The following is a 13,397-nucleotide window of genomic DNA, read 5'->3' as shown; positions in this document are numbered from 1 at the left end:
TGTAAGAAAAAATCAGAGATAAAAGAGAAAAAGGCTTGTTACAGTAGATAAAGCTCTGGACTTGAAACCATAAATTTGGTTCAAGTTCCACTGACTTCCATCAGTTTATAGAAATGTACATCCTATGTGTTTTCAAGGTACTCTGTTTATCCATTAAATATAGTTTTCATTATTGTAGTATAATCACTTTTTTACTTGTCCTTTCTGCCCCCCAAAATTATAAACTCCTTGAAGGCAATGATTTTCTCTGTTATTACTGAATCCTTCCCACCCAGGAGAGTGTCTGGCATGAATGGTGAAATAAATGACAGTAAACACATCACCTCACCTCTCTGAGTTTCATTTTCATATCTGAAACTTAATATGAAACCAGTTTCTTTTCAGATTATTTTGAGGTTTGATATGTAGAAATATAATGAAAAAATTCATCATAGGTGGAAAGTTACACAACTCTTTATCATATATATTCATCCAACAATTTAAGAAAAACTCACTCTATAGCACATAGTTCATGTTGCAGCAAGTACCACTGCAGTGGTATGTCCAAGAAAATAGCTTCAAGCTCTAGTTGACAACCTATCTATCTAAGCAATGAGTTAAGCAGATAAATCCAGAAAAATATGAACTTTGGAAGATCCTTTCAAATTGTAATAGAAATTGCCTGGCAGCCAGATACAAAAGAGGAAGTTAGCATTTATCTGTGGCTCCACACTTCCACAACCTGAGGATAAAAGAAGCCAGATATAAAGTACATGCCCCAAAGAAACTGTCAGGGTTGTTTTTCCCCGCCCTCCCATCCCCCGCCCTAAAGACACACAGTGAAGTGTTAGATATCTTACAGAGGGTTGTATATGAATACAGACATCAATTTATTCACCCATCTTCCTTCTAGTTAATCCATTCAACCAACGACATTAAATATCCATTCAAAAAAGTCTATACATATGTTTTGAGTATCAACCAGGTGCCAAGGTCCCAGTTTAAAAAAAAAAAAAAAGACAAGTAAGGCATACTCTGTACCTCAAAGGCACTCACAAGTAGATAGGGGAAAATTATGAATTTGTATGCACAGGAGCCATGCTATTTGTTTTAGTATTTGGGATGCATCATATACATACATATATGTATATATTATTTTAATATGTTTATATATAATTTATATATTTTATATATAATTTATGTATTTTATATATAATATATATTTACATTTATATATAATATATATTTATATATATTATATATGGCTATAGAGCATTTTGGATGCTGGTTGTAGCATCTTATTTGCAAGTGCAGAATTTTGTTCTGACAAGATTACAAAAATATTCTTAATAGAGACCTTCCATGTCACCTAAAAAGTTGTTTTCTGTTTTCTTGAAAATGATGTCCAGTGGAAAGTATATGCCTTAAAGGGTTTTTATCTGTTCACTAAGCCATTAGCCAATTATATATAAAATAGCAGGTAAATATATCCTGTAAATGGTCCAAGGATGAAAACATGTATACATTTTACTGCCAAATATAAAACATTGCACTCTTATTAGCCATGTTCAAAGGGAAGAATGATTGTCTTATTTACTGTAAATGACCATGTTTTAGTTGACCTTGTAGCCCCATGTCTAGTATAGTGCAGACACTCAGCACTATTCATTCATATGAATGAATGAATGAAAACATTGGAATGTTAACAGCCAAGATTTATAAGTGAGCACTAACTCAAATGGAAAATAAATTACTATCAGCCTAATTAGGGAACCTTTGTTGTAGAGCCCACTGCTTCTCATTCTCATCTATGAAAATACAATAAGATGAAATAAAGGGAAATCTGTAGGTCAAATCCAGACTACTCCAACTGAGAAAGTAACATAATTCTTTGAAATTCCCCTATAAAAGGAGGATAAAAATATATAACATTTGAAAACATCTACCACAAAGAGCTGCTGTTCCATGCATTTTAACTGATATTTTAGAAATAAAATTTTTAGGGATTAAAACCCTGCCACTGCTATTGTGCCACAGAAATAATGCACTGAAACTCAATCCAAAGTCATTTATCCTGAGGTCATTTTTATATCATTAAGAACATTTTCAAGGACATATATGAAAACACTAGTTGTAGAAGAAAATGTTACCTTGTTTCTCTCTCTCAAATCAGCCAAGTACTCTCAAGTGCTCTTGATGAGATTGGAGAGATGCTGTCTACATGCTATAAGAAGACATGTAAGCTTATTTCTGGCTCACAATACATTATCAGCCTACCTTAGGAACTGGAAACATCATCTTTGAAACTAATTGTTTAGATTAAAGCATTGTTGTCAAAGGACATTGCCAAAGGATCATCTTTGACTTTCAATCTAGACAGCTCTGAGTTCCTGACTTCACCCAACTTTTCTAGTTGAAACAAGCAACAAGAACAGATAAAATATAAACAGATAAAAAGAAGGAGACAAAATTGGCCATTTCAGCAGATCAGATACAGAACAAAAATAGTGGACCTCATGTCCAGGTTTCATGGCCTCCTGTCAATAGTAGTCATGGGGATTGCATTCCTAGGGATCAATGAGGACTAAAAGGGTTTTGCATAAGATAGGGGACAAGACTCATGCTCACTCATGCCTCAGGCGACAGGGTAACAAAGACACAGCCTCACAACCAGAAACTGAGACAAGCCAGCTGCTAGCTCTGTGACTGGATTCCCAATGTTTGCAGTATCATCACGTAACAAGAGCACTAAAATACCATTGAAAAACTGGTTATAGATGAGTGCCTTGGTGGCAGATTGAAGGCAACTGAAAACTTGCTAAATATAAAAGACAAAGGAAAAAAAATTAAAATTCAACCTCACACCATGTGCAAAAATAAATTTCAGAAGTATCAAAGACCTAAACTAAATGGAAAAGATGGAAAAAGAACAAAATATATGGGAAATTCCTATAGTTTCTGGTCAATTTTTCTGTTAATCTAAAACTGCTTTAAAAAATAAAATATTTTGGGAAAAAGAACAAATTATAGATAAATACCTGAATGACTTAGGTTAGTGTCATACAATAAATGACTGAAACAGGTTGGAGTCAGGATATATTTTGAAAATGGAGTCAACAGGTCTTGAAAATATTTGGGAAATGAGGAACAGTCAAGATGTCGCCAGTGTTTTTTGCCTGAGCAACAGAAAAATAAAATACTAAATTGTGAGTTGGGAAAGACTATAGGAGAAGCAGTCTGGAGAGGGAATATAAGGTCTTAGTTTCAGGCAAATTAAGATTGATGTTCCTGTTTGACCTCCAAATAGAGGTGAAGAATAGCAAGTCAAATATATAAATCTAAGCTCTGTGGAAAAATCAGATCTGTAAATAAAAATCTGGAAGCCAGAAACATATGGATATTATTTAAAGCCATGGAGTAGGTGAAATTGTCTAGGAAGTGAGAATAGTTTAAAAAAATGGTGAAGGACTAAACTCTGAGGCATTCCATCAATTAGAGATTGGGAATAGTAGAAAGGACCAGCATAGGAGACTGAGAGTGAGGAAAATAAAAGGAATTCAGGAGATCTTATCCTGGGAGAATTCAGGAGATCTTATTCTAGGATAATTCAGGGATCTTATCCTAGAAGCCAGCTGAATAATTTTTCAAGAAGAAAAAAATAATTATGTCAGAATCCTCTGAGAGAGGGTAGAATGGAACTTGCCAGGACCTTGGGGAGAGGGGAAATGGGGAGATATTGGTTGAAGGATACTAAGTTTTAGTTATGCTGGATAAATAAGTTCTGGAGATCTGAGATCTAATATAGAGCAAGGTGACTATACCTGGCAATAATCTATTGCACACTTGAAATTTACCAAAAGGGATGATTTTACGTGTTCTCGGGAAAGAAAGAAGTAAAGAAAGAGAAAAACAAAGGGAGAGAAAGAACATGGTAATTATGTAAGGTAATGGAAATGTTGTTTGCTTGATTTAGATGTCATTTCACTATGTATATGAATATCAAAACATCAAGTAGTACACTTTAAATATATATAATTTATTTATCAATTAGGTCTCAATACAGCTGGGAAAAAAGAATTTACATACTAATTAGGAGAAAGCAAAAAGTTTCTGAGAAATCAATTAAGAACTTGGAATTAACCATGGATGGCAATAACAAATGTGGTTAGAGTGATGAAGACACAAGTCTAAGTGGAATATGATAAAGAGAGACAAGAAAATAAGGGGGTCAAGGTGATAGGTTTACGTAGCTCCTTCAGGGAACTTTTCCACAAAGAACAGAGAAATTAATCAGTAGCTGAAGAGGAAGAACAGGAAGAACTTTCTTCAAAGATAGGAAATACGCCATTTTTAAGCTAATAGAAATGTTCATTAGAGAGGAAGAAGTTGATGATGCAAGACAGAGAAATTAAAATTATAGGAGTCAAGTCAGCAAACAGGGAATAAAATTCGGAGCACGGGAGGGTCATTTGGCTTTACATAGGAGTGGAATAGTTCTTCTGTTGTGGCGTATATGCTTTCGATTGATATTCCAACTTTGTATAAAGTTATTTTACTTTTGAGTGATTTTTAAGATAAGATGCCTAGTTGAATCTTATGTGTATCTACATAAGGTGCCCACATATTTGGAAATTACACAAACACACACACACACACACACACACACACACCAGAAGTCAGTGTCTGGCTCATATTTCTCAATTAAATCAGGTGATCGATCCTTGGGGAATCACTCAACTTTCAGAAAAAACGTCCTTCAAATTGGTTGTTTCTGTGCCTATAAAAAAAATACTCACGTGGAACTCATAGTTTTCTATGCACTGTTATCTGAGCTGAATTAAAATTCGATGCAGTGTTTGGAAGCTTAAGATTTCCCATTTTAAAAAATGGAGGGAAATGTCTTCGAGCATATGAAACTGAGTTTGGGGATCAATATTGACTTGAGAAATGTTTTAGTTTTTTTCTTGAAAATCTTGAATTTTTCAATTATGAATGCAATGTAAAGCTCCTAAAGAAAGTTGATTTAAAGGATATTTCTCAGTTTCCGATTCCATACATCTTTCCATCCATTCTTTATACATATGTAAAATACATTGCTATCATTTTATGTAAATACAACATTTCTAGAATGGCATTCTCCCCTTTCACTTTCAGTTGAAATAACATAAGAGTTTTTTAACAGTCTTAAGTAATTGGAAGTTATCTAATGCCATAAAAAATCTTATACAAAACTCTGAAGAAAAAAATTAAATTTGAAAATTAATTTATGCTACATTGCTTTGAGGTTTTAGACCCACCTCTGATATAGTATATGAAAGTTAAAAGCTTAACAGTTGTCCCCAATCATGTACAATTCAACATCTATCAATTATTTTTCTCTGAATTTTTAAGATTTCATTCAAGCAGCTTTAAAAGCTTACCATTTTCTTTCTTTATATATAACACTCCAATCAAGCCAGAAACTAACAAAGGTGTGGTGATTTTAAACATTTTTATTATATTTTCACTTTGTACTCACTGCAGTAGTCAGACCAGGTTGCCATAATAAATACCATAGACTGAGTGGCTTCAGCAACAGGAATTTGTATCTCACAGTTCTAGAGGTTAGGAAATTCAAGATCAAGGTGCAAGCAGATTCCATTCCTGGTAAGGGTTCTCTTCGTGGCTTGCAGATGGTCACTTTCTAGCTGCATCCTCACATGGCAGGAAGAGAGAAAGCTCTGATCTCTCAGTGTCTTATAAGGGCACTAATCCTATAATGGGGCCCCCACCCTTATGATCTCATCTGTCCCCAGTTACCTCCCAAAGGCCTCACCTCCAAATACCATCACACTGAGGTGCAGGGCTTCAACATATGAACTTGGGTGAAACAAAACATCCAACACTTGACACTCACTTTCTCATGCAATTAAGCAGAAATGAACATTGTATCATTTCTAAGAGATGTGGACTACTAGATACTACCTTGTCAGGAGCTTTCACATTATGTACATTTCTCCACTCTTCCATGGAAGTGCCAAACCAAGCATCTACACATTCCTAAGGAATCTACACATTCCTAAGGAACTACTCGTTCCTAAGCAAGGTATGAGGCTTGCTCATAAAAACCATAGTAATCACTGTGTCTGTAACTAGATTACTTAACCTGAGGCAACATACTTCAGGACACATTTGAGGAATATTTTTGGCCTGAGTGCTATAATTATACAGTGTTTCAAAAAGTCTGCTACCTAGCAATGAGCTATAATGGTTTTCTCTTCGACCCCCAATTTAGCTTTCAGATTGGTAAATGAACCAAGTGACTAAATATTACTTAGCAGTTCAAGTAGCTTCCCTTCCCCACCACTTTTCTCACTGTGCAGAAAGGAGAAGGCTTTTTCAAATGCAAATATGAAATTTGGCTTAAGATCTTAAGAAATAAATTTTCACCCATCAATGGCTGACTTTTCTGGCCACCCTTTAAAAAAGAAATGCTTCCTTATCCTTAGAGATCTAAAACAAAATTTTGTTTTAACCTCATTTTTCCATAGGTCCACTCTCTTCAGATTAAACTGAAGTGAGCAAGAGTAGGTTTTAAATATTAATCACTCCATGCAATGTCCAAGCAGAACAAATAACTTGACAGGCAATTTCCAGTTTTTACACATTGTTCTTGAAAAGGCTCACAAGCAGCAGTTCAACAGGGACTGCCTCTCTGTGATATGTACTGTTTTTTATGCTTACTTTTACACTGCACAACTAAAGAATATCATGCATGCTTTTGCCTTGATCATTAAAATAATCAGATACTGTATAAGCACAAGCACCTTCCCACATATACATAGATAGTAGATAATACTCCCCTCAAAGAAAAAGATGAAAGATGTTAAAATGAATAAGGACAAAGAAGAGAACAAAGCTGGGAGATAAGCTAGACTGCAACCAGTGCATAACTTGAAGCTAAAGTTATTTCCACATATGGTCACACCAAATCACATTTCTATTTGTTTCCCCATCACTCTCTTCATGTTGACAAGTCAGCTTCAACTGACATGATTAACCCTGGAATTGCTAAGCATTATTAAACTAGGAGAAGGAAAGAACCTGAAACTATACAGAGGTGTAAGTGTAGCTGAAAATTAAATGAGTTCAGTCTACCAATGGATTTCCCCAATAGTAGAAATGTAGTGTCCAGAGGACACATTTGTAATGAAACAGGAAAACACAAAATGCATTATGCACTCAGAAAAATTAGAGTAAGGATACCTCCAATGAACAGGCAAAGTTTCTAGAATGGAGTCTGTATCTGAAAGGACATTGAAGAAGCCTCCATATGTCCATGCGTTCTTTCTTTAAAAATGTTATTTCCCAGCTTTCTTTAAATTAAGTGCCACATTTATCAAGGCTGTAGCCTTGGAATAGTTAATCTAAAGTTTAGAAGCACATTCTGGACCTTTGCCCTGCTAGGTACTGAAAACAGGGTGAGGAAACTTTCTTTAAGAGAGTAAGTCACTGGAGCATTGCTACAAATATCTTCAAAGACAAGCCAAATCAACTTGGCCATCTAGACATTGAGAAAGAGCTGGAGCCATCTATCTGACAGTGCAGGGGGCAGGGGAAGGTCGACCATCAGAATGTTCTCTCTTCTTCAAAATGTTGGTTTCTCAATTACATTGGCACTCAAAATTTAGTGCCAATTTAGTATTGAAAGAAATACACGTCACTAAATGAGAATTTCCTTTACCAATAAATAAAACAGGTTTTATCCTCATTTACATAATTTCCTGACCATTAGGGTGGTTCAACACTGGATGGAAAGGGGAAAGAAGAATATGAAAACACCTCCCCTAGAGATTTCTAGGAAGAAAGAAGCCTGTGGCCCGGAAGGCTTGTGACGCTACCACCTAAAGGCAGAAATTTGGATCAGATCATTTCCCAATTTCTTCCTCCTTCTACAGTTTATAAATATATTTAAATTCATGTAAGGAGATCTGTTTCTGAGTAAGATGAAGTAAGCACACTCCATCTTGTCTTTCCCATTGAGTGTGGCTATAGCAACATAATTAGAACAAGGGTTTGAGGATTCTAAAAATAATAATAATAACAGGTGGATCAGGAAGGAAGATCAGAGTTCAAAGTACCATCAAATCTGTAGTGAGTAAGTCATCTTTTCTCTCTGGCATTCAGAACATTGAGGGGCTTCAGGGCAATTAGAAGCCCTAAACTGGGCAAGTAGGGAGCCTTCTGCCATACTCAAGGCTATTTTCAGATGTCGTCCATTAGACACTAGGAATGCACTCACTTTAGTCAGTGGGCTGAGCCCTGGCTTTGGAGATCAGGCAGATTTATTTTCAAATGGTGGCTCTGCCAGTTAGAAGTTCTGTAAGCTTGACAATTATTTAAACTCTCTGAGTCTTTTCCTTATCAGCACAATGATAATAACACCACATTATAAGATCGTATGCACAGCACAACCCCAGATTTGCTAAAAGTTCTCGCGCCAGGAAAACGCAATGATTCTAAATTTGTATATAACATAAAATGCAATCTCTCTTATAATTTCTTAATTTAATGTACCAATTATGCCAGTCCTTTAGTCAAATTTCACGGACTACAATTTTCCAGAAAATGTACAGATATAATTCACACTCATATTACTCTAAGATTAAGTCTCTAGTTTCCTCTCCTGTACACTCAACAAAACAAGGGCAAAGACTCAAGTTCCTCTGATTAAAATCTCTACCTGTACTTGCCATTCAGATTTGTTGCTTCAAAATGGCTCACATAAAATAAATTAATACCCTAGATAACTTGCTAATTTCCTTTTCAAAAAAATTGTAAAATTTTCCTTCATAATGTTTCAAAGAAATTATTGTCCTAATTGGCATTTCAAGGGATAGATTAGAATGATTCATAATGTCCCTTCCTGCTCTGACATTCTATAAGTTCATGATTTGTGAGATTTTTGGAATATGGAAACATAGTTCTTTCTTCCCCAGTGGACACTAACTAAATAATTAATTCCTGTTTCAAGGAACCCTCAAGGGCATGTATGCACAAAGATGAGACAAATTATCTCATGATCAAATCTTGAGATTCTTGAGAACAAGAAGCACACCTCATTTCTTTTCTATCTTCCACAGCATGTTCAGCACAACTGGACTCACATATCGCCACACCCAGTTCTAATTCTCAGCTAGCCAAAGCCTAGACAAGCTACAGGTTCAGTGGGAATAAGGTTAAAATTCAAAAGATACAACTGGGTTTTAGAGTTGTTTTCATAACAACTCTAAAACAAAATAGTGCACCATAAAGGGTACTGCATAAAAGTTCACTTCTTCCCTGAACTTATTCAGGAGGAATATGAGTAAAGTGTTATTCAATATAACAAAAGCCCTTTTGATAAGTAGACAGAGAATAACACTATTCAGAACCACATGTGATTGTCATATTCGTCTGTTTTCCTGTATTTTCCTTCTCACATAACTATTTTGAACTTTTAATTTCAGCCTATTATCGTTTTTATAATTTCCCAAGAAGATTGCGGATTTCCAAGAACATCACTTAAAACCTGGAAATCCCTTTACTAACAGAAGCATTCAGTGAGGAAAAAAATACATCAAGATGGGGTCAATTCTGTTACTGTGCAAAGGAATCTCTTTGAAAAATGAAATGTCTTTCATTTCTCCCTCACCTAGTTTTTATTATCTTTCATAGTATTTTTTAAGTATCATGAAGAAATTTGCATGCTGAATATTCATAGACAATATATAAAGATGTCCCTATGATATGAGAGAGGGCAGGGAAGTGCTGGGTAGAGAAAGGCAGGTCCCTGGCTAGGGATCCACCCCCCAGGCCTGTGCTCAGGGACCTAGGTGAGGACAGGTATTTCTGTTTTCCTGCCCAAAGGTTGCATTTTCCAAGACCACCCTGTCCCGCCACGCCCCCACCCTGTGCCTATAAAAATTCCAAGACCCTAGCAGGCAGAAACACAAGCAGCGGGTCGCCGAGAGGAACACACTGGCAAAAGAGCACACAGGCGGCTGGAGGTGGAGAAGACAGGAAGAACACATCGACAGGCACCAGCAGACGCCGGCAAGCCATTGACCTGTGAACAACAAGGACTGGAGCCTGGCCGAGGCGGTCAGAGGAGTGTCCAGCTACTGAGCGGCCAACTCCAGGGGAAAACCACCTTCCCGCTCCATGCCCCTTCTGGGTCCCCATCATCTGCTGAGAGTTTCCACTGTCAATAAAACTTTGCATTCATTCTCCAAGCCACACAGAGTCAAGAACCCGGGATACAGAAAGCCCTCTGTCCTTGCTATAAGGCAAAAGGTCTAATTGAGCTGACTAACACAAGCCGCGCGCAGACGGCAGAACTCAAAGAGCACACTGTAACACAGGCCCACTGGGGCTTCGGCTGTAAAACATTAGCCACTAGATAGTGCTGTGGAGTCGGAGCCCCGCAACCCTCCATCTGCATGCTCCCTCCAGGAGTATGAGCAGCATGGCACTGAAGAAGCGAGCCACACCCCGTTGCACACCCTGAGAGGGGCATAGGGAACTTTTCCCATTTCACCTAGATGACTAAGTGAAGACTATGCTGGTGCTATTTATACATATTGGCTTATTGCATTCTGCTCAATGAACAAAGAAAGCAAGCCTAACAAAGTCTATTGAAGATTTACATTCAGATTGTGTCATCATATGTGTAAGATGCCTGGACAGAAGTCAGTTACTAAGTATGTACGTATACATATACATACAGTTATCCCTCAGTATCTATTAGGGAGGGGATTGGTTCTAGGACCCACGAGATACCAAAATCCTCAGTGCTCAAGTCCTTGGTATAAAATGGCATGGTATTTGCATATAATTTAGACGCAGCCACTTGTATACTTTAAGTCACCTCTAGATTACTTTTGATACTTAATACAATGCAAATGCTATGTAAATAGTTGTTATACTGCATTTTAAAATTTATATTATTTTTTATTTTTGTATTATTTGTATTGTTTTTTCCCTAATATTTTTCATCGACAGCTGGCAGAATCATGGATGTGGAACCCACAGAAATGGAGGACTAATATTGTGTGTGTGTGTGTGTGTGCGCTCGCGCGTGTGTACACACATATATCCAAACCAATTTAAGGAGCTATAGCATATGAAAAATGATCATTTCGAAAATTTCACATGCATAGAAAAATAGACTAGAAACTTCTGTTTCACTCATAAATACCATTGAAAGAAGTTTTACTCATTTTGTTATGAACTTAACTTTCTTAGGTTTAACAGAACTTAAATCTTAGTAGTCGTATTTATCTTTCATGGTCACATAACTGTTTCTGAACGTGTTCATTTAACTGCTGCTGAAGCTAGTTTCTTTTTAACAGTAAACAATAGTGTCTTCTACTGTTCTTGACATTGTATGTTGTTTTCTTAACAAAGTCTACCCATTCACTTTGAAAGACTTTCAAACAAATCAAGAAACTTACCAGGAGCCTTATAGGAGTCATGGAGTCCATAATTCTGAAGAGACTTTAGCCTCAAATTTCCACTCCATCTATTGTATGCATGCAACCAAGATCAGTCAGCAATAATCTGGGGCATGCTGACAGGATAAATTATAATGTGCCACAAGAACAGAGAGGAAATGTCAAGGTTCAAAGACACCTAATGCCTCTCAGCTCTATGTACCAGGAAAATGAAAAGCAATTTTATGACACATATTTTAGCAAGCGCTTTCTCTACGACTAGGGTACCATTACTCTGGCAAGTGTACAACCTGGTACTTGTAACTACCTTTTAAACTTTTACTATATCTCAGATAACAGTTTTTAGATTTTTTTAAATATACTTTAATGTTTCACATGGGTTACAAAGTGACTGGAAGAGACAGCCCTACTCTTCTCCTTTGCCGCCTCCTACACCCTGCAGGTTGAGTTCTCTCAGTAATTAGCCGGAGGAACACACACTTCTCAGAAGTGAGGTGAGCACACAAAAGACAGTCCAGATCAGTAAGCTCTTCTCTAGCTGTAGATTCTCTAGTGGAGAACAAAGCTGCCGGAAATGCTGCACATATAGCCCAAAATGTAAAATGAGGATAATATTGCCTATGTCAAGGAATTATGAAGAATAAGTGAGAAAACACAGAAACAAGAGTCAGCCTTGATTTAGCACTCTTAGCCTCTCCCATCTCATCCCACAGGAACTCAGCTGTATTCCCTCAAACGTACCCACTTCCCTCCACTTGCAAGGACACGTGGACAGCCCAAGAAATTACCCAATTCTGCTATGCCACAGTCTTTTCTAATCACAGCTCATAACATTCTGGGGCACTCGTGAACCTTGAGCCAAAATCAGAATTAGCAAGACTACATCTCTACCTGAAGAAAAACCATCTGAGTCTGTGCAGCGGTCCCTTATCCACATCTATGCTTCCTGCTCTTCGTTTCCTTGCACATATCTTAGACCAATTCAATTGAACAAGTGTTTATGATGGACATAGTACATGCTTAATGCTGGGCACCAATAATTAGCAACAGAGATACGTCCCTGTTCAGAAGGTTGACAACAAAATAGTGACATAAATAATTATACAGCTATAAAGAGTGAAATGTCACATGAAGGAAAACCAAAAAACTAAGGATGGTGAAAAATCTCTCTAAGGAAATTTGAAAAAGATCAATTTAAGTAAGCCAAAGAAAGGGGAACAGTAAGAATATTCCAGGCAATATTTGGGAAGTCCCCGAAACAGAAAGGGCGGCTATGGAGGAAGTGAAGGGCCAGCGTGGCTGGGGCTATGGGTTCAGGGAGCACAGAGTTGTGCAAGCATGGACACCAGCAATGGCAGGCCAAGTCCATGCTGCTCACAGTTATTTGTCCTGAGGGCACTAAGAAAGGACTGAAGGTTTTTTAGCAGAGGAAGGAGAAGATCTTATTTATAAGATGTCAGTAAAGGGCACTATGGCTGCAATGTGGAAAACAGACTGTAGAGGGCACAAAAGTGGAGCCAAGTTAAGATGCTATTGGTCTAGTCCAGTAGGAGAGGTGGTAACAGCTTGGACTCAGGTGGCCACTGTGCTGATGGGGGGAATGGTGAGGTCTGAGGTATATCATGAAAGTGAAATTGATTACTGATAAGTGATAAGAAGAAAAAAATCAGGTGATTCTCAAATTTCTGGTGTTCTAACTTAATCTTTATAGCCATACGAAATAGCATGAAGCCTCATTTTACAGATTTATTTATCCATTTAACAAATATCTGTGGAACTCCAAGCATAGTGATTTAGAGCATCAATGCCCGAGTTTAAATACTGGTTTGGCCTCTTGGCAACTGTGTCACTTTGAGCCAGGTTCTTAACCATAAATGTGAGGAGGATCCTTAAATCCCTTCCTGGACCGCTACAGAGGTTTCTGAAATTTAGAGGTTGTGGGAA

General features: G+C 37.2%; 1 annotated feature.

Moving 5' to 3' along the window:
- Positions 12,948 to 12,997: a silencer, noted in NCBI's record as "silent region_5408". NCBI's record gives its function as "represses an Ori minimal core promoter by ATAC-STARR-seq in GM12878 lymphoblastoid cells {active_cell/tissue: GM12878}" and the evidence as "EXISTENCE:reporter gene assay evidence [ECO:0000049][PMID:35858748]".

This window comes from Homo sapiens, chromosome 13 (genome assembly GCF_000001405.40).
Source record: "Homo sapiens chromosome 13, GRCh38.p14 Primary Assembly".
Lineage (NCBI taxonomy): Eukaryota > Metazoa > Chordata > Mammalia > Primates > Hominidae > Homo > Homo sapiens.
The sequence above is the reverse complement of the archived record's forward strand: the minus strand, read 5'-3'. Positions and strand labels throughout refer to the sequence as shown.